General features: G+C 41.6%; 1 long non-coding RNA gene across 1 annotated transcript, besides 1 other annotated feature; it reads right to left on the bottom strand.

Moving 5' to 3' along the window:
• Nucleotides 1-1025: 1025 nt before the first annotated feature.
• On the bottom strand, nt 1026-16045 carry LOC107986058 (uncharacterized). The gene is made up of 3 exons (XR_001740584.1): nt 13914-16045; nt 7482-13442; nt 1026-1228 (listed from the first exon to the last, which is right to left on the bottom strand). It is a non-coding gene; the product is annotated as an uncharacterized LOC107986058 (long non-coding RNA).
• Nucleotides 19827-19876: a silencer, noted in NCBI's record as "silent region_14006". NCBI's record gives its function as "represses an Ori minimal core promoter by ATAC-STARR-seq in GM12878 lymphoblastoid cells {active_cell/tissue: GM12878}" and the evidence as "EXISTENCE:reporter gene assay evidence [ECO:0000049][PMID:35858748]".

Here is a 22470-nt window from a genome sequence, read left to right as displayed (position 1 = left end):
AGTGGGATTATATTTATTACTTAAATTCATTGTTTCTTTTGTTTCAAAATATTTAGTGATTATTTTCTCTAATGATATATACAATTAGCATAATCATAACAAACATTATAGCTTATGCAACTTAAAATGTAATCTCAAAACAATTCTATGATATATTTTTATTAAATGGTTTACTCATGGTCCAAAATTGGACCAGGTACAATTACTTTGTTAGGCGTATGGTCCATGACTCTCCATCTTTTTCCTCCACCAGGGTTGATTCATAACTGTCATGCATACCACATGTTTCTACTTGGGCCCCTGGTAGATGTTGCAAATTGATCCCTGATTTATAACTTTTATCAACATGATATTGATATAACTGTGACTGAGCAACCAGAATTGGCACGTGAGCTGTATCTATTTGCCTCCTCTATTTCATCATGCCGGCAGAGAGCCAGTAACATGTATTCCCACTTGAACACCCATTGTCTGTATCAATTGTATAAAATTTGGCTTGGTTACTTTTAGAGCTGACTAAAATGCACTATGTATTCACTGCATTGTAGCATGCATATATTTGAAATGGAGATGTGTCCTACCGAAATATCAAGAAATGATCCATTTTTCCAGCATCTAATACTTAGGTTGCTCTAACATATCCTCAGAGGACTCATTTTCAAATCCCACTCTTGGACAAAATATTGCCTTTCTCTCCTTCACTGGTGACATTGAAATAAAATTGCTATGATCCAAGGACTAGAGAAATAAATACTGTATGCTTTAAAGAAAGGCCAATTTGGCAGCAACTGGGGGATGGGGGAGAACGGAATACTGCTGTGCCAATGTCAGAAACATCCCTTCCTCAAATCCTATCCTTTTTGCAGTGCAGAGCAACCTTCATAAGTTGTACTTCTCTCACACCCTGAAGCCAAACTTAAAAGTTTAATCCTCATGAGCAAAAAATGAAATTCTTTATAAAAATAGCTCCTGGCTGAAAGACTCTACAAAAAAAAAAAAAAAAAAAAAAAAAAAGGAGGAAGAAACAAAGAAAGAGCAGACAGCAAATGGGATAGTAAGCCAACAGAATTTTCCCACAGTAACCTTACCACCTTGCATGCAAGGATCCTGGGCAGCCAAGTGTCAAGCTATGTGAAAAGGAAGCATGAGTCTCTGGTGCTTACAAATTCAATTCCATTAAACGAGTATTTATTGAGTGTCTTCCATGTGCTCAGCAATGCTTTAGACACTGTGAAAGAAACAAAGGATGTATAAGACAGTTACTACCCTGAAGGACTTTGCAATCTTGTTGAAGAGCTTTCTCTGGAAAACAATTTGATGCTGAATGAGTAAGAAACACACATGATTCAAAACACCCTGTGGACAGAAAAACTATTCACATGTCATCCAGATGTCATTTTAATGGAAGCTCAACCACCTCGTTTTTAATTTACCAAAGGAATCAACCCAGGGCATACGTATGTATTTAGCCTTGTCCACATTTCAAGTGGATCATTCTAAGCAAACAAACTTTCTTCTATACCAAGAATGCTGCTGATGAAATGTGCTGGGGCTGCCTGAATTTGCTCCTTGACCTTGTCTGTCAAATATGACAGTCATCTTTTTCTGGGTAATGCATTATCACCATGTCCCATTGTGATGATGTATTATACTTACACATCATTGAAGAAGCAATTTGCTTTGATGATGTACAGACATGCAATAGATCATGGCTCAGAAAGAGTGAGAGCAGGAGCACCCTGGAGATCTATATTTCAAGCAGTGATGCCATCCATACAAGAACACAGACATCATTAATTTAAATTATCTGGACAGGAGCTGGGCTAATGAAAGGACTTTTGACCCTTCCCAAATGTAAAAATAGATATATTAAAAATGCTTTCTCATGGTTGTCAAACGGTAGCATAGGGAATTCCTGTGGTGATGGAACTTCTCAGTGTCTTGACTGTGATGGTAGATACATAAACCTACACATTAATAAAAATCTATAGAATTTATACATGTACATGTGCACATACACACACAAATGAGTCCAAGCCAAACTGGGGTAACCTGAGTAAGTTGGACGGACTGTAAAATGTCAATATTATTGTCATGATATTACACTATAGTTTAACAAAATATTGTCATTGGGGGAAGCTGGGCAAAGTGTATACAGAATCTCTTTGTATTATTCCTCACAAATGCATGTTGTTCTATAATTATTTTAATAATTATTCACATGTAACCCAGATGTCATTTTAATAACAATGAAACTATTTTTAAATGGTTTCCCAGATAATAAAACATTATCAGACTCAACTTTTATAGTATGACCAAAGTTTTCTTCTTTTTAAGACATTATAAAGAAAAAAAGACATCCACACACTTTAATAAAAAATCCTGTTGTAAAGGGAGATATTGGCAAATATTTAATATTAATCCATGACAATTATATTCACATTAACACTGAATTAATGTCCAACACAAAGAAAGGATTCTGTTTAATGAAAGAAACTAATTTGTAGGATTTAAAATATTTTAGAACGTTATTTCAGTTCACATATATAAATATAAAAAACCTTAGTGTTGGTCTTTGTCATAAAACAGAATAGCTTGAGAGGGTAAGATCTATGAAGACAAATTTAAATAAGTTTAAACTAAGGCCTAAAGGTGAAATCCATACACAGGTTTCTTTAGAATTAGAGTTCTTAAGACAGAAATTATATCCATGTTACACCAGAAAAATCTTTTGATAAGTGTATTCAATAAGTGGACATCTTTATCAATAGTCATATTTACATGAAGCTGAATTTATTTTGGGGATGCATAGAAACTAGGGGAGTGCTTATTTATGTTACAGTGATGTTAGGCTAAGGGGATGGTTTTGCTTGCTAGGAACACAATGAAGATGAACAAGTACCAAAGACACAATTATGAAATGCAAATTGAGCAATGTGATGGGATCCAACATATAACACATATTGAGAAATGTGTCAACTTCCATGAGATTCCCGTAACCACAAGACATTAAAATAGAGAATAATTCATAAATCTATTAAGAATAGGAGAAAAGGAAGATACCAGGAGACAAAGACATTCCTTGCAGTAGGAAGGCAAATGATATCACATTTAGGAATGAACTGAAATGCTCATAGACTTAGCAGAAAAAGGAGTCAGTGAAGGAGAAAGCTGCTCTTCACAAAAGAGTCCTTGGAAGTTGGTATTTACAGAGATCTCAGATTTGAGAAGATGGGTATATAAATTAGATAAACTATTCTGCCTTCCAAGCCATATTTGCAATGGGGTATTTTCTTTCATGCTGAGTCCAGATTAATATATTCTAAAGAAATTGATCGATCTGTCTGCCCAAAATTGGGGATCCAAGAGTGGGCATGGAGACATGGAACAGAATCCAAATCATTTTTAATTGAGGATACACGTAGGCTGGAGATAGGGCATGTCCATTCCTTGCTCACATCTCTGAAAACTAATACTTGCCAATAATTACTGACAGTTACTTCTCATGTTCTGGGGTAGAGGCAAGTATGTGAAGAGGACATCCACTCAAGCTGCCTAAATTAGTTTGTTCAATTATTCATTCCTAAATATAAACATAGAACTAAGGAACACAATATATTTTGGGAAAAAAAGCAGAAAAGAGATGAAAATTTAAACATGTAAATATTTAAATTAAAAATGTAAAAATTTGAGATTATCAATTCATACATACATATAAAATCGATCTAGTGTTTTAGTTCTAGTAACTGAAGAGATAAAGAATGTAATACATGCTATGCCATCAATGACCTCAAAAATTTGATTTTTTAATAACATCTCCAAAATTCTGAAAGGCAGTATATCATATAAAGAAGATGCAGACCACAGTGGGCTTGATCAGCTTTCATACTGTTGCTTTCTTAAAGCACTTTAACATTTGATTCAGTTTTTTGACATGATAAACATGAATATATTGCCTGTCTTATACAGTGAAAGACAAATTTAAAGAGGACTAAATAAAAACAAAATTATTTGTAATATTAAATATTTTCAACAAGGATATAAAGGCTAATTGGCCTGAATTCTATTGTTTTACTTTATTTGGATAAAAACCATTACACTGATAAATAAGCAGAATATTCAAGTCAAGAGAAGTGTAAGTGACTAGTAAAGGGTTCAGTGCAAAGTTGTTTGTGCCATTGTAAGGATGTGAGCACCTAATAATGTGTGTGTGGGTGGGTGTGCATGTGCATGTAGGAAAAAGTGATTCCAGATCAAAACCACATTTTATTTTACACTGCTTTGGAAAAAATTATCAATGAAAGATGCAAACAATTTCACTGCTAAATCCAAATGCTGTTAGAATTGACTAAAGTGAAAATGTGTTGCCATGAGCTGAAGCCATATGATAATATAACAATAGAGAAAAAATTTCCGTTTTTTGCTAATAGCCAGAAGTCAAGTTTCTTCATGTTAGAAATCATACTCAATTAACCAGGAAGAATGATTTGAGGCAAAACAGGAGAGAAAAGTCAAGTAGGAGGCCATTTCTACTAGGAGCTACTCACAATTTAAGTTTTCCTTATAATGTCACTCTTATATTTTCAAAAAACTAAGGATAAATATAAGAAAGTATGTGAAAGAGAGTAAAATGCTGCCAGGCGCGGTGGCTCACGCCTGTAATCCCAGCACTTTGGGAGGCCAATGAGGGCGGATCATGAGGTCAAGAGATGGAGACCATCCTGCCAACATGGTAAAACCCCATCTCTACTAAAAATACAAAAACTAGCTGGGAGTGGTGGCACGTGCCTGTAGTCCCAGCTACTCGGTAGGCTGAGGCAGGAGAATCGCTTGAACCCAGGAGGTGGAGCTTGCAGTAAGCTGAGATCAGCAACTGCACTCCAGCCTGGCTACAGAGTGAGGCTCCATTCCCCTACTCCCATCCCCCATTCCCGCCAAAAAAGAAAAAAAAGAGAGAGAGAGAGAGAGAGTAAAATGCTTCTAGAATGGGGACCACAGTGAAAATGGCTAACAGATCATGTCACAGTATGAAGGACTTATAAAGAACTCTTGAAAAGCTCAAACTGAGAGACAAATTAATTAGTTCTTTCATCCAATCCTCCAGTGAAAAAACTCACCTTTTTATCTTGCTCTTAGTTACCTAGTCTCTACTTCTTTTTTTTTCTTTATTGTTGCTTGTTCCTTGTTTTTTCCCTCTTGCAGTTTTATTTTCAGGATAAAAAAACACATGAAGGAGAAATATGAAGGAGATATATTTGGCCATTTTCTTTCAAATAATTTTCAAATTTATGTAACACATATTTGAGTAGCAAGGAAAGATGGTGGCACCAATTCATTAAGACCACTGACTTCTGAGATATATTGGAAAGATGGTTTCAGAAAGAAAACAAAGATTTGTTCACTATATTAAACAGTATTTGGATTTGGAAACCAAAATTTATACTGAAACATAAGAAATCCTGAATAGTCAAACCAATCTTGAGCAAGGAAAAAAATGCTGGAGGCATCCTACTTCATGGTTTCAAACTGTATTACATAACTATAGTAATCAAAACAGTATTGTACTGGCATAAAAGCAGACACACAGACCAATGGAACAGAATAGAGAACCCATAAATAAATTCACACCTATATGCTCAACTAATCTTTGACATGGGTGCCAAGAATACACAGTGGGGAAGGAATATTGTTTTCAATAAAATATGTTGGGAAATCTGAATATCCGCATGCAAAAGAGTGAAACTGAAACCTTATTTTATACCATATACTGAACAAAAACTACCTCAAAACAGATTAAATATGCAAATATAAAACATGAAACTGTAAAACTAGTAAAATAAATCATAGAAAAAAATGTCCTTGACATTGGTCTTGGCAATTTTTTTTATATGACACCAAATACACAGGCTACAAAAGCAAAAATAGACTAGTGGGGCTACATCAAACTAAGAAGCTTCTGAACATCAAACAAAACAATGAATAGGATAAAAACACACCTGAAAAATGGGAGAAAATATTTTCAAAACATCAAATAAGGGGTTCATATCTAAAATATATAAGGAACACATACAACTCCATAGTGAAAAAAATGAAAAACCCTATTAAAATATGGGCAAAGGACCTGACTAAACATATCTCCAAAGAAGACATACAAATGGCCAACAGGTATAGGAAACAAATGTTTCATATCACTAAGCATTAGGGAAATGTAAATCAAATCCACAAGGAGTTATCACCTCACATTTCTTAGAATGGCTATTAACAAAAAGATAAAAGATAACAAGTGTTAGCAAAGATGTGGAGAAAAGAAAACCCAAGTAAACTATTGGTGGGAATGTAAGTTAATACAGTCAACGTGGAAAGCAGTATGGAAATTCCTCAAAAAATAAAATTAGAACTCATAAAATGTAGCAGTTTCATTTCTGGATGTATATCCAAATGAAATAAAATCACTACCTCAAAGAGATACCTCCACCCCGATGTGTATTGCAGCATTAGTCACAATAGCCAATTCAGGGAAACCTAAATGTTAATGGAGGAATGGATAAATGACTCCATGAAGGATTCTACGTGCATGCACACACACACACAAATATATTGGAGTATTTTTCAGCCTTGAAAAAGAAGGAAATCCTGCCATTTGTAATAACAAGTATGAACCAGAAGGAAATGATACTAAGCTAAATAATCCAACAGAGGAAAAAAACACTGCATAATCTCACTTACATGTGAAATCTAAAATAGTCAAATTTATAGCAGCACAGAGTAGAAGGGTGGGGTTGGGGGAAAGGAAAATAGGGAGATAATTGCCAATAGGGTAGGTGTTAAATATTCTCATTACACACACACACACTCACACACACACAGAGTTAACTACATAAAGTAATAGATATGTTAATTAACTTGATTGTGATAACCATTTCAGAACATATATGAATAGCTACACATCAACTCGTAGCACACAATTTCTATTTGTCAATTATACAGCAATAAAGCTAGAAAAAAACCAAAATAAACAAAAAAAATCAAAATAACAAAAACTAAACTACCATTTACAGTAGCAGATACAGTTAAGAACCTGAGAATGTTTAAGATGGAATAGACATAACTCATAAATGAGGTGGGGGAAGAGGAATAGGTCAAATATTAAAGAATCATTATATAAAAGACAGAGAAGACTTTGCTATAATCTCAAGTAAAACAACTGGATTCAAGGACAGAAACACAAAGGAAGCATTCTTTTATTTCAAAATAAAAAAGATTTCCTCAGGTTTTGGTGAGTTTCTGGCCACGAAGTTTCTTTTCAAAAGTGCTTCAAATGTTTCATAGGTTTTCTGTTCCCTTAGAAATCTAAGAGCTCATGATTCAATCACAAGCAATGATAACTTGAAAGAAAGTGTTTACAAGAACAAAGATAATACAATTCACTAAAACCGATGGTGATTGATTACAAGTTTCACAGGATAGCTTGCCAATCATACCTGCTGAGTTTTAAGTCACATGCCTCAGCCAAAATCTTGGTAGCTCTTTTAAGAAGCCAAAGTGCACCTCGAAGAGTCTTTAGTTTGGTCCAGCTTTGCAAACCTGATACTCCTAGGATAATGAATATATGAGTTTTTCTAGAGAGAGAAAGGACATGAATTAAAGGAATGATTGCTGAAGCAACACTCATGTACTTGGTGAAGGAAGTGGCTGTAGAGCTTATTGGAAACCACCAACTAAACCAGCCCTAATTTATTGCTACTTAATTTAGTTCTGCCTTAAATTTTCCCTCTTTTAGTTTTTAAAAGTTGAAAATGTTTTGTTCTTCATTGTGATTTTCTTTCCCTACTGAAAATGCATGATAAGCACTAAGGCCACAAGAGCTTACTCTGTTGAGGGTGAAGTTAAAACGCACGTTTCTCTTAGACCGGTGATATAATAGAAGGTCGGTTCTTTTTTATCTCTACGTGATTATTTTGAGTGAAAAATTTAAAGCTCTTTCACATACCATTGGCTTGTCTTCTGGAGAAAGGAACAGCATATATAGAGGATGAAAAAATAAAAAATCCTTTCTAATTTTGCTAGCCAAAAGTGCTCCTTTAAACAATACCATATTAAAAGTCCAATGCCAGGGTTATTTATTCTATTTTCAAGAAGCTCATCAGTTCAAAGAATACAGGTCCCTATTCGTTTTGTTTTTCAATAGTCTAACACAATACAGCATTGTTTTAATAAAACAAAGAAAGTTTGAACATTTCTTTGCTATTTCTTCAAAATTAGTTAATGCATACTAAAGCAACCAATTTTCTATATGTACTGGAGGTCATTTTTCTTTTTTTTTTTTTTAAATATTAGGATTTAGTAGAATGAACATATCACAACAGTTCCATAGCTATGGCAATATAGCAGTGGAATTTTATATTGACTAATATGTTAATCTTGTTAATCATCCTATACTGTTGTTTCATTTTGGATAACTTTTTTCACATTTTTATTTCATTCATTTCAAAATAAATTAATTGAAAATCAATATAATGCATATTTTGATGAGTTAAGAAAATGTGGCATAGAAAATTAACTTAAAGTTTGAGAGATTGTCTAAATGATTTTTCAATTAAGGATTGTCTATGGCTAACATAAAAAATCTATATCAAATAGTAATTATATATTCTCAGAAAAGAAGAAGAAATTGGGCCAGAAGTATACAATTTGTTATATTAATATATTTCCTATTATTATTTATAATTTTCCCAGTATGAAAAACTGCTAAATTATGAAAGCAGTATATGAAATTATAACATTAATTCCCACCTATGTTAATTTTGCCATTGACTTATGAACTAATTTTCAAATTTATTTTGAAATTAATCATACCTTCTAGTTCAAGGACCTTCATGGATTCTGAATGTAAAAGAATCCCAATGATTTTATCTCTTCAGAAAACATAAATATAAATTGTATTCAAATATGCATATTACACAAAGATGCATTACACATATTGCAAGAGACATTCACACATATTTTTGGTTGGTGATTTAGCCTGAATTTGCTAACAATGGCATGGTGTCTACTTTGATTTTGTTTAGCTGGAATAATCAAGTATTAGTCCATTCTTTCACTGCTATTAAATACCTGAGACTGGGTAGTTTATAGGGAAAAGAAGATTAATTGGCTGAAGGTTCTGCAGACTGTATGAGAAGCATAGTGGCTTCTGAGAAAACCTCAGGAAAGTTAGAATCATGGTGGTGTAGGAGGACTAGCCACAGACAAAACCACTCAGACACCGGGTTAAGAAGGAAGTGGCTTTATTTGGCCAGGAGCATCAGCAGACTTGCATGTCAAGAACTGAGCTCTCTGAAGAAAGAGTTCCTGGCCCTTTTAAGAACTTACAACTCTAAGGGGTTCACGTGAAAGGGTTGTGATAGATTGACATTCAGAGATAGCATATGTGATTAGAGGGGGGCTAATCTTTAACCTCTCTCTTCATTCCCCCATTTGAGAACCTTACTCACTAGTGGGAGGTCTCACTCTCATCTTCACTACCCAGGTCTTTCTGCAAGACAGATCGACAGTGATTCATGTAATACACTTGTGTATTACAAGACATTCATGTAATACATTTGTGCTGAAGTTTTCTGATGAACCAAGGTAGTAACAAAACTTCTTAGAAGTTGGAGAAATATGGGTAACAAACAAAGGAGCAATAGGAGGGTTGCAGCTGGAGATCTGGGGAGGAGCTGGTGTTTTTTAGTTTGAGGGTCATGCAGCTATAGACCCTGGGAGGAGCAGGAGTTTCTTTAGTTTGAGGGTTGGGCAGCTGCAGAACCCGGGAGAATCTGATGTTCTGGTTTGAGGGTCCTGCAGCTGGAGACCCAGAGAGCAGCTGGTGTTTCTTTAGTTTGATGGCCGTGCAGCTGTAGAACCCAGGGGGAGCTGGTATTTTTCTAGTATGAGTGTCCTGCAGCTGGAGACCTGGAGAAGAGCTGATGTTCTAGTTTGAGGGTCGTGCCGCTGAAGACTCAGGGAGAAGCTGATGTTCTCGTTTGAGGATACTGCAGCTGGAGACCTGGAGAGGAGCTGATGTTATTCTAGTTTGAGGATCATGGAGCTTGAGATCCACAGAGGAGCAGGTATTGTTCTAGATTGAGGTTCATGTAGCTGAAGACCTGGGGAGCAGCGGGTGTTTTTTAGTTTGAGGGTCATGCAGCTGTAGAACCCGGGAGGAGCTGGTGTTTTTCTAGTATGAGTGTCCTGCAGCTGGAGACCTGGAGAGGAGCTGATGTTGTTCTAGTTTGAGGGTTGTGCAGCTGAAGACTTGGAGGGGAGCTGATGTTGTTCTTGTTGAGGGTCTTTCAGCTGGAGACCCAGAGAGGAGCTGATGTGGTTCTAGTTTAAGGGTCATGGAGCTGGAGACCCAGAGAGGAGCTGGTGTTGTTCTGATTTGAGGTTCATGCAGCTGGAGACATGGAGAGGAGCGGGTGTTTCTTTAGTTTGAGATTCATGCAGCTGTAGAACCGGGGAAGAGCTGGCGTTTTTCTAGTATGAGTGTCCTACAGCTGGAGACCAGGAGAGGAGCTGATGTTCTAGTTTGAGAGCCATGCGACTGGAGATGCAAAGAGGAGCTGATTTGGTTCTAGTTTGAGGGTCATGGAGCTGGAGACCCAGAGAGGAGCTGGTGTTTCTTTAGTTTGAGGGTCATACAGCTGTAGAACCCATGAGGAGCTTGCATTTTTCTAGTGTGAGTGTCCTGCAGCTGAAGACCTGGAGAAGAGCTGATGCTTTCAATTGAGGGTTGTGCAGCTTAAGACTCAGGGAGGAGCTGATGTTCTAGTTTGAGGGCCATGAGCTTAAGACCCGGGGATGAGCTGATGTTGTTCTGGTTTGAGGTTCATGCACCTGGAGACCTGAGGAGGAGCGGTTGTTTTTTAGTTTGAGGGTCGTGCAACAGTAGAACCTGGGAGGAGCTTGTGTTTTTCTAGTATGAGTGTCCAGCAGCTAGAGACCCAGAGAGGAGCCGATGTTCTAGGTTGAGGGTGGTGCAGCTGAAGACTCGGGAAGGAGCTAATGTTCTAGTTTGAGGGCCGTGATCTGGGGACTTGGAGAGGAGCTGATGTTGTTCTAGTTTGAGGGTCAGGCAACTGAAGACCCGGGGAGGAGCTGATGTTGTTCTAGTTTGAGGTTCATGCAGCTGGAGACCTGGGGAGCAGCGGGTGTTTTTTAGTTTGAGGGTCATGCAGCTGTAGAACCCGGGAGGAGCTGGCGTTTTTCTAATATGAGTATCCTGCAGCTGGAGACCAGGAGAGTTGCTGATGTTCTAGTCTGAAGGTCGTGCAGCTGAAGACGGGGGAGGGTTCTAGTTTGAGTGCCCTGCAGCTGAAGACTCGGGAAGGAGCTGATGTTGTCCTTGTTTTACGATCTTTCAGCTGGAGACTCAAAGAGGAGCTGATGTTGTTCTAATTTGAGTGTAATGGAGCTGGAGACCCGGGGTGGAGCTGATGTTGTTCTAGTTTGAGTGTTGTGCAGCTGGAGATCCAAGAAGGAGGTGGTCTTGTGGTTCAAATCTGAGGGTCCTGGAGCTGGAATCTATGGGAGGAGTCAATGCTGCCACTGATGTCTTAGATTGTGCAGCAGAAGACCCACAGAGGAGCCGGTGTTGGTGTTCTAGTGTGAGGGTGTGGATCTGGAGATCCATGGGGGAGTGACGTTCTTCTAGTTTTTGGGTTGTGGTGCTGGAGACCCAGGGAGGAGCTCATGGTGTTCTAGTTGAGGGTCGTGGTGCTGGAGACCCAGGGAGGAGTCGATCCTTCTGTTGTTTAAGTCTGAAGGTCATCGAGCTGGAGATCCGGGGAAGAGCTGGTGCTGCGGTTCAAGTCTGAGGGTCCTGGAGCTTGAGACCCCAGGAGGAGATGGTGCTGCCACGAATGTCTTAGGTTGTAAAGCTGGAGACCTGCGAAGGAGCCGGTGTTGCTGTTTTAGTGTGAGGTTTGTGGAGCTGGAGTCCCAGGGGGAAAATGGTGTTTTTCTGGCTTAAGGGTCATGCAGCTGACCCTCAGATGACCTCAAACTATAACAACACTGCTCCACCCTGGATCTCCAGCTCCAAAATCCTCACAATAGAAAAACATCTGCTCCTCCCTGAGTGTCCAGCTCCACGATGCTCAAACTAGATTAAAATCAGCTCCTTCCCAGGTGTCCAGCTGCATGACCCTCAAACTAGAAACACCCGGGGAGGTTTTATTAGTTTGCTGCTGTTTTTCTAGATTGAGGGTCATGCAGCTGGAGACGTGGGGAGGAGCTGATGTTGTTCGAGTTTGAGGGTCATGGAGCTTGGAGACCCAGGCAGGAGCTGGTGTTTTTCTAGTTTGAGGGTTGTGCAGCTGGAGACCCAGGGAGAAGCTGATGTTGCTCTTATTTGAGAGCTGTGGAGCTGGAGACCTGGAGAGGAGCTGATGGTGTTCTAGTTTGATGGTTGCAGAGCTGGAGACCCAGGGAGGAGCTGTTGTTTTTCTAGTTTGAGTTTCGTGCAGCTGAAGACCATTGGAGGAGCTGATGTTCTAGTTTGAGGGTTGTGCAGCTGGAGATACAGGGAGAAGGTGGTCTTGCAGTTTAAATGTGAGGGTCTTGGAGCTGGAATCCATGGGAGGAGCCAATGCTGCCACTGATGTCTTAGGTTGTGGAGCTGAAGACCCGCAGAGGAGCCAGTGTTGGTGTTCCAGTGTGAGGTTCGTGGATCTGGAGACCCACGGAGGAGCAGGTGTTGGTGTTCTAGTGTGAGGGTCATGGATCTGGAGATCCATGGGGGAGTGGTGTTCTTCTAGTTTGTGGGTTGTGGTGCTGGAGACCCAGGGAGGAGCTGATTCTTTTGTTGTTTAAGTCTGAAGGTCGTCAAGCTGGAGATCCGGGGAAGAGCTGGTGCTGCGATTCAAGTCTGAGGGTCCTGGAGCTTGAGACCCCAGGAGGAGATGGTGCTGCCACTAATGTCTTAGATTGTAAAGCTGGAGATCTGTGGAGGAGCTGGTGTTTCTGTTCTAGTGTAAGGTTTGTGGATCTGGAGTCCCAGGGGTGAGCAGTGTTGTTTTAGTTTGAGGGTCATGGAGTTAGAGACCCGGGGAGGAGCTGATGTTGTAGTTTGAGGGTCGTGCAGCTGGAGACCCAGGGAGGAGCTGGTGTGTTTCTAGTTGGAGGGTTGTGGAGCTGGAGATTCACAGATGAACTGGTGCTGCTGCTGTTTAAGTCTGAGGGTCATGGAGATGGAGATCCAGGGAAGAGTTGGTGCTGCGGTTCAAGTCTGAGGGTCCTGGAGCTGGAGCCCCTGGGATGAGTTTGTACTGCCACTGATGTCTTAGGTTTTGGAGCTGGAGACCTGCAGAGAAGCCGGGCTGGTGTTCTAGTTTGAGGTTCATGGAGCTGGAATCCTGGTCAGGAGCCAGTGATGCTTTTTAAGTCTGAAGTTCGTGGAGCTAAACATGGAGCAGATGTTGGGGAAGTAGAGAGAGAGAGAGAGAGAGAGAGAGAGAGAGAGAGTTTACAGGACACCACTTGAAACTGTACATGTAGCTGAATCCCAAGCAAGTTAAGCCTGGGAGCTTCTCAGTCCTCGTGATCAATGCATTCTTCTTTCTCTTACACAGTTTGGATTTGTTTTTTGTCTCATGAGACAGAAAGACCCTGATTAATACCCTCAGGAATTGAACAGCTTAAAAAAACTAAATGATATTGGTATAATAATAATAGAAATTAAACTATGATTATCCTGACTGAGACAAAATCACACACCACACACAATATATATCTTTTCATTCAGTTAGTAAAATAAAATATAAATTGAAAAATCGACCCATGTAAAGCTATAAAAAGTTATTTAATGGAGAAGCGATGGATGACATAGACTAATCTGAGAGTTACTATTAATGGAGAAACTTACAACTTACCATTTTTCCTGTGAAGTTTCGGTGCTGTTACTGATATTCTGTGAGTTCGGGCAGCTGAGTCCATTCGCACAGCCTGGTGACACAGCAGGTGTCACAGAAGGACCCTGTCCCAGCTGGTCCTGTTCCACTGCTATGATGAGGGCAGCCTCTGATCTCTGACTGTCTTGAGGGGAGACAAGGCCCTTGATCACAAGCGTATCCATGGTGAGGTTCCGTGGATGGAACCTCATGGATGTTCCTGATGTTCCTTCCTGAGGTTCATTTGCCATCTTGCTATTTAATGCATTTTGTTTATGATTGTCTTCTAAATGTTGAATAGAAATAAAGCATTTGTACAATATGGGTAAGGTATAAAGAATACAGACACATTGGACACAGAGGACCTCCACCAAGTTTAGGGAATAGAATCTGAAGAGACATAACTTTGGATGCTCCCCGGAGGCCCTGCCTGAGCCCTAGCCCCTTCCCTTCTCCTACAGAGGGAATCAATTCCTCTTTTAGTCTTTATTATTCCCATATTTTTCTTCATAGTACATTTCTTCCACCACTTATGTGTACATCCCTAAAAAATATGCCATTTAGTTTTGGAACTTTCCATTGTCTTTTTGAGACAGGGTCTTGCTCTGTTGCCTTGGCTGTAGTTTTGAACTTTGATGTGAGAAATTCTCCTGTGTGGCTGCTCCTACACTGCATGGCTCTGAGCATCTGCTCGATGTCTATTTTTGTCCTCCATTCTCTTCCTGAGACCCACCCACATTGACATGATTCATTTTTATTGCTGCATGATCTCCGGTCATATGAGAGGAGCATGGGAAATGTCTTCATTTCCCTGTTGATGAGTGTTTGGCCAGGTTGGGGCCTTTAGGACTCTGTTTTGTTAGGAATGTTCTTGGGTATTTCTTTTGTACAAAAGTGCAAGTTTCTTCTGGTCAATAGCTTCCAATGTTTAAAATTTCATCCCAGGTAAGAAATGTAATTTTTCTCATAACCCACAACACACACCCTTTCATATAGAAGCATAACAAAAATATATTTCACAACCGTTCTTAGCAGTGCCTGGTGTTCCTGCTACTCTCCATTCTCCCTAACTCTTGCATGGATTGGGTTGTGGGATTTTTGCCAGTCTGGTGGGTGTCACGTGACATCTCCCCCTGTTAGGCTGAGACCCTCTTCGTGTTTTTATTAGCTATTCCTTCACATTTCCTCTTTTGTGGAGGGCTTTGCCCAGTTTCTGTTGTTTGAATTTTTGCCTTTTTCTTTTATTATTACTATTATTATGTTTTTGTGGCAGTCTCACTCTGTCACCCAGGCTGGAGTGCAGTGGCGTGATCTCAGCTCACTGCAACCTCCACCTTCTGGGTTCAAGTGATTCTCTTGCCTCAGCCTCCCGAGTAGCTGGGATTAACAGCATACACCACAATAACTAGTTAATTTTTGTATTTTTACTAGACACAGCATTTCACCATGATGGTCAGGCTGTTCTCAAACTCCTGATCTCAGAATATTTTCACTGGATATAATGTTCTAGAATGAAAGTTTTTTTTCCTTCAATTCTTTAAATATGTCATGCCACTCTCTCTTGGCCTATAATGTTTCCACTGAAAAGTCTGCTGCAAGATATACTGGATCTCCTTACATGTTATTGGTTTCTTTTCTCTTTCTTCCTTCAGAATTCTTTCTTCATCCTTGACTCTTGGGAGTTTGATTATTAAGTGCCTTTGAGGTAGTCTCCTTTGGGTTAAATCTACTTGGTGTTCTATAACCTTCTTGCAGTTGAACATTGATATCATTCTCTAGGTTTGGAAAGTTCTCTCTTACTATCCCTTTGAATAGATTTTCTATGCTGATCTCTCTCTCTACCTCCTGTAATGCTTAGATTTGTTCTTTTGAGGCTATTTTCTAGATCTAGTAAGTGTGCTTCATTGTTTTTATTTTACTTTATTTCTTGATTTATAGTTTTTAATTCTTTTTTATTTTGTCTTTTCTGACTGTGTATTTTCAAATAGCCTGTCTTTAACCTCACTAATTCTTTCTTCTGCTTGATCAGTTCTGCTGGTAAGAGATCTGATGCATTCTTCAGTATGTCAATTACATTTTTCAGGTCGAGAATTTCTGCTTGATTTTAAAAAATTATTTCAATCTCTTTGTTAAATATATTTGATAGGATTCTGAATTCCTTCTCTGTGTTGTCTTGAGTTTCATTGAGCTTCCTCAAAGCAGCTATTTTGAATTTTTTCTCTGAAAGATCACATATTTCTGTCACTCTGAGATTGGACACTCATGCCTTATTTAATTTTGTGAGGTCATGTTTTCCTGGATGCTCTTGATGCTTGTGGCTATTGGTCAATGTCTGGCCATTAAAGAATTAGTTATTTATTATAATCTCCACAGTCTGTGCTTGTGTGTACCCATCTTTCTTTGTTTGTTTCTTTCTTCTAATACAGAATCTCACTCTGCCACTCAGGCTGGAGTGCAATGGCATGATCATGGCTCACTGCAGGCCTCAGCCTCCTGGGCTCAAGCGATCCTCTCACCTCAGCCTCCCAAGTAGCTGGGACTACAGGCACATGCCACCATGCCCAGCTGATTTTTGTATTTTTTGTAGACACAGGATCTCAGTATGTTGCCCAGGCTGGTTTTGATCTCATGGATTCAAGTGATCCTCCCTCCTCAGCTTCCCAAATTGTTGGAATTATAGCCATGAGCCACCACATCTGGTCTCCTTCTCCTTCTTCTTCCTCATGGAATTTCACTCTTGTTGCCCAGGTTGGAGTGCAATGACACAATCTCGGCTCACTGCAACCTCCACCTCCCAGGTTCAGGTGATTCTCCTGCCTCAGCCTCCTAAGTAGCTGGGATTACAGGCATGTGCCACCACGCCTGGCCAATTTTGTATTTTTAGTAGAGACGGGGTTTCTCCATGTTGGTCAGGCTGGTCTTGAACTCCCCACCTCAGGTGATCTGCCCACCTTGGCCTCCTAAAGTGCTGGGATTGCAGGCATGAGCCACCATGCCCAGCCTCCCATCCTCCTTGAGAAGGCTTTCCCAGTATTCAAAGGGAATTGAGGGTTGTGATCTAAGTATTTGGTCACTGCAGCCATATCTGCTTTAGAGGCATCTCAAGCCCAGTAACACTATGACTCTTGCAAACTCACAGATGTACCACCTTGGTGGTCTGCAGTAAGATCTGGCAGAATTCCCTGGATTATGAGGCAGAGGCTCTTGTTCTTTTCCTTCACTCTCCCCCAAACAAATGGAGTCTCTCTCTCTCTCCATGCTGTGCTGTCTGCATTTAGGGGAGGGGCGACATAAGCACTCCTGTGGCCACCAGCACTGGGACTGTAGCAGGATGAACTGCAGACAAAACCCCTCAGATACCAGATTAAAGAAGGAAGAGGCCTTATTCGGACTGGACTATTGGCCGACTTGCATTTCAAGAATGGAGCTCCCCGAAGAAAGGGTTCCTGGCCCTTTTAAGGGCTTACAACTCTAAGGGGTTCCACGTGAAAGGGTCATGATAGATTGAGATCTATAGGTAGCACATGTGGTTAGAGTTGGGGGTTAATCTTTTAACCTCAGGCCTGGTCATCGGTGCACTGGCTGGTCTTGCCACTGATTTCATTCCTGTTGTTTTTCAGCTTTTACTTCCTCTTTCTCTTCAGAGACAGGAGACAGTAAGATAAATGGCCTCTCTCCTCATTCCCCCACTTTGAGAACCTCACTCACTAGTGGGAGTTCTCACTTTCATAGTCACCACCCAGGTCTTCCTGTGAGACAGATCAATAGGGATTCATGTAATACACTTGTGCTGAGGTCTTTTGATGAACTAAGGTGGTAGAAATATGGGTAACATACAGGGGAGTAACATGCAGGCTCCTAACACTATTATTATTAAAAGGTCTGAAACACTGGTTTGGGAAAGAGCCTGTGGACCTTCCTTTGCACTTAAATATTTACTTGGGGATCCAGTCCAGTTCCATTGATTCCTAGGGTTACATACTCTCCTGTTTTCCAATGGTGATCAGGTAGTTCTAATGAGTTACAGTGACCACTAGTGCAGGAACAGTTACTCTTTCCTTTTTGAAGGAGGACAGGGTCCTTCTTATCTTTTTTCCAGGTAGCCTAAATGACACAGGACCAGTAACTATGTTCATCACTATACAGTCCTAATTCATTGCAAACATACTTATTTTCTACTATATAGCCACTTTCCCAATCTAGACAGCCGCATCTTATTCTATTTCCATACGGGTCACTGTTGATTGCCACACAGGCATCAAATTTTAAGATAATTTGTTTGGGAACTCCTTTCTCTTCTGTTTTAGATATTACTTTACTCTTATCAGCTTTTCCCCAGTTGCCAGTCCTCAATCTTATTTGGAAAACTGTAGTCATAGGGGGCTCAGATGGGTTATAGCACACATCAGGCTGGTCACTTCCTGGCATGCATACCTTGTACTGGGTGGCATTATACAAACAAGTCCCTTTTAGAGTTCCAGTACCTTCATAATAATTATAAAACAGAAAGACTGTTTTAACTTTTCGCCCTACCTCAGTAACTTGATGTCACTGGGAACAGTCCTCAGTCTGAGGAAGATCAGTTGAAGTACTTACTGTACAAGTCTAAAATTTAAGGAAAATGAGACCCACAATGAGTTTCCTTATGCTTCAGCCAGGCATGGACCAGCCAGCTTCTGGGTGTAACAGGAGCAGGGCTTATTGTCTTCTTCAGCATCACTTTGCAGGGGTTGTCCTGGCTTGGTCTTACCTCCCAGGTCTCAGGTGCTGTAGGTTTTATATGGCTGTGGTGGATCCAGGCTGGGATTCCCTCTACCTTTGTGGCTGTGGTCAAGATGACGGTCTGGGGTCCTTTCCACAATGGCTGCAAGGGGGTTACGTTCCAATCCTTGATCCACACCCGATCACCTAAGGAGAAAGGGTGAACTGGGGAGAATAAGCTGATGGGGCACCTCTCATTTACCCAGGCTGAAATTGTTTGTGTAATTTTCCTTAAAGCCTGTAGCTGTCACTGTAACTCAATTTCACCTAGCTCTTGAGGAGTGCCTGGGAATCCCCGTAGTATGGGAGGGAGCCTATGATATAATAGTTCATAAGGGGAATATCCTGTTCTTTTAGAAGGGGTACATCTAATCTTAAACAATACCATAGGGAAAGCTTGTACCCACTTTAATCCTGTTTCTTGACACACTTTCCCTAAATTACTTTTGATAGTCTGATTCATCTGCTCCACTTTTCCAGAACTCTGTGGTCGGTAAGTGGTATGTAGTTTCCATGTGATCCCCAATACCTTTGCTGTCTTCTGTACCAAGTCAGCCACAAATGCCAGCCTGTTGTCCGAGTCTATTTGTAAGGGCAGTCCAAACCTAGGGATGAGATCTCGGAGAATCACACAGGTTACTTCAAGAGTTTTCTCAGTTCGTGTTGGACAGACCTCCACACCACCACCACCACCACCCCCAGAGTATGTACACACTAGAACTAGCAAATACTTGTTACCTCCACATTTGGGCATCTTGGTGAAGTCTACTTGGAGATCTTCAAAGGGGTCTGCTCCACAGGCTTGTATGCTGGGCGGGACATTTGCATTTTGCCTACCTTTCTGCTGCCAGCAGGTGACACACTGATACACCACTGTTTTGGCAAGGGCTGCCGGATGTGAGTTGTAGAACTACCAGCCTAACAACTTTTCAAGTGACTCTTGGCCTAGGTGGGTGGTCTCATGAACAGCCAGTACGACTGCAGCTCCTAGCAGTTGTGGCATGGCTATTCTTCTATCTGATAACTGGATCCATCCCTCTTCTATCACCTGCCCTCCCTCTGCCTGGAGAAAGTCCTTCTCTTCTTTAGAATAAGTAGGTACAAGGTCAGGTGCCTGAAGGAGCAGGGGGTGCTGTGACTGATGCCCGGTAGGGGGTGGATGCTGCTTTTCAAGCCTCTGAGTCAGCTCGGGAGTTCCCCAAGGCAATCAAGGTGAAAGATTGTTGGTGTCCTCTGCAGTACATGACTGCCACCTTTTGGGGCTTTCACACTGCCTCTAATAATTGCAGAATCTCTTGCTGATACTTTGTGTCTTTTCCCCCAGAGTTCAACAGGCCTTTTTCTTTATACAATGCCCCATGCACTTGCAGGGTTAAGAAGGCATACCAAGAGTCAGTATAAATATTTACAGTCTTATCTTCACTTAGCTCTATGGCCCAAATTAAAGCAATGAGTTTGGCCTTCTGGGCTGAAGTACCCTGGGCAATGATTTGGCTTCAATGACAGTGCCCAGCATTACCACTGCATATCCTGCACATCTCTCTCCCTGTGGGTTGACGAAGCTGCTCCCGTTCATATACAGCTCCCAGTCTACTGATTTCCAAGAATGGTCTTGGAGGTCGGGCCTGCTAGAATAAACTGAGTCCAACAACTCTACACAGTTAGGTTCAACTGGGCTCTCTGATACCAGGAGTAAGGTGGTGGGGTTCAAGGTGTTGCAAACGTCAATGGTTATGTGGGGATTTTCATAGAGTAAGCTTTGGTACCTAGTTAGTCTAGCATTTGTTAGCCAATGATGTCCTTTGGTATTCATTAAAGTCACCACAGCATGTGGGGCCTCAAGAACAGCCAGTACGACTGTGGCTCCTAGCAGTTGTGGCATGGCTATTTTTTTATCTGATAACTGGATCCGTCCATTGGCAGTTGCAGCCAAGGCCCTCAAACATGGGGGCCAACCTTTAGAAACCCCATCTAGTTGTTTAGAGATGTAGGCCACCAGCATTGGCCAGAGCCACATGATCTGGGTCAAAACTCCAACCACCGTCTTCTCTCTCTCTGACACATATAGTGTAAATGGCTTTGTCAGGTCAGGCAGCCCCAGGGCGGGGGCTGACATGAGTTTCTCTTTTAACTCATGAAAAGCTCATTGCTTTTGGGACCCCCATTTGAAAGGTTCCTTGTCGCTCCCCTTTGTGACTCTGTACAGGGGCTTGGCCAGTACTGCAAAGTTTGGGATCCATAACCTGCAGAACCCCATGGCTCCTAAGAATTCTCTCACCTGCCTTCTGGTCTCGGGCTCCGGTAGGTTGCAAATGACCTGCTTTCTTTCTGATCCCAGGCTGTGCTCCCCCTATCAGATAGTAAATCCCAGGTAACTTACCTGCTGTCTGCAGATCTGAGCTTTCTTCTTGGGCACCTTATACCCACAGTCCTCCAGGTGCTGGAGTAGGGTATCCGTTCCCTTGGCACACCCGACTGCCGTGGGGTGTCCCAACAGGAGGTCATCGATGTACTCGAGCAGCAAGCAGCCTAGGTCTCTGGTGGGAAACTTCTGGAGGTCTCAAGCCAGCACCCCCCCAAAGATGGTGGGGGAGTTCTTGAACCCTTGGGGAAGCTGGGTCCAAGGTACTGAGTGGTGACACCTGACTCCGGATCCTCCCACTGAAAGGCAAACAGTTTCTGGCTCTCAGGAGCTAGCCTGATGCTAAAGAAAATGTCCTTTAGGTCCAGGCAAGTGAACCAGCTGTCCTCAGCTGGCAGCAACCCCAACAATGTGTACAGGTTAGGTACCACTGGGTGCAAAGTCACTGTAGCTTGGTTGACCAAGCGCAAATCCTGTGCCAGCCTGCAGTCCATGGCCCCTGGCTTGGGAACAGGCAGGAGGGGATTGTTCCATGGAGACTGACAAGGGACTACAATTCCAAAGGCCCTCAGGCACTCGAGATGGATCCAGATACCTTCAAGAGCTTCTCTGGGGACCAGGTACTGTTTTTGTCTGACTGGCTGGGCCCCAGGCTTAACTTCTATGAGTACGGGGGCCTGGTTGATTGCCAACCCTAGAGCGTTGTCTTCCACCCACACCTTTGGCCAACACTTAGCCAGAGTTGCTCCTATCTCTTGGCCTGGCTCAGTTAAGAAGAGTCTCCATTCCTCCTCCCAGGGAACCATAAGGGCCATTATGACTCCCGTTCCAGGTAGCTTTAGCGGTAAAGAGCCGTGCTTTGTAAAAGTGATGGTGGCTCTCAGCTTGCTAAGTAGGTCCGTTCCTAGCAAAGGCAAGGGGCAGTCAGCCATGTACAGGAACTGATGAATCACTTCATGCCCCACACAGTGCAGGTCTGGGGGAAACAGAACGTTTGCTTTGCCGAAACCCCTGTGGCTCCGATTATGTCAATAGTCTTTTTGGATAAGGGGGCGACTGGGGTGGTTACTACTGAATGTTCAGCACCAATATTGACAAGAAACTAAATGTCCTCGTACCCGACTGTCATCCTGACAATGGGCTCTTTGGGGGCACATGAGCCTGGTCCCCCTCAGTCCAGTAACCCTTCTGCCCGATTGAACAAGGCCCCTTCATCCTTGTCTGAGGCCTTCTGCTCAGAGTCACCTTGTTTCCCTTTCAACTGTGGGCACTTGTCCTTCCAACGTCCTATTTCCTTACAGTAAGCACACTGATTACGCTGCAAGCGTGGATGGACAGACTGGGTATTTTTCCTGGGGCCCCCCTTCTCTGGTCTCTTTGGGGGGGCCCCTCTTATAGCTGTGGCTAGCAGGTCGG

Source organism: Homo sapiens, chromosome 3 (genome assembly GCF_000001405.40).
Source record: "Homo sapiens chromosome 3, GRCh38.p14 Primary Assembly".
NCBI classification, from domain to species: domain Eukaryota; kingdom Metazoa; phylum Chordata; class Mammalia; order Primates; family Hominidae; genus Homo; species Homo sapiens.
This window is presented reverse-complemented; position numbering and strand designations above follow the sequence as displayed.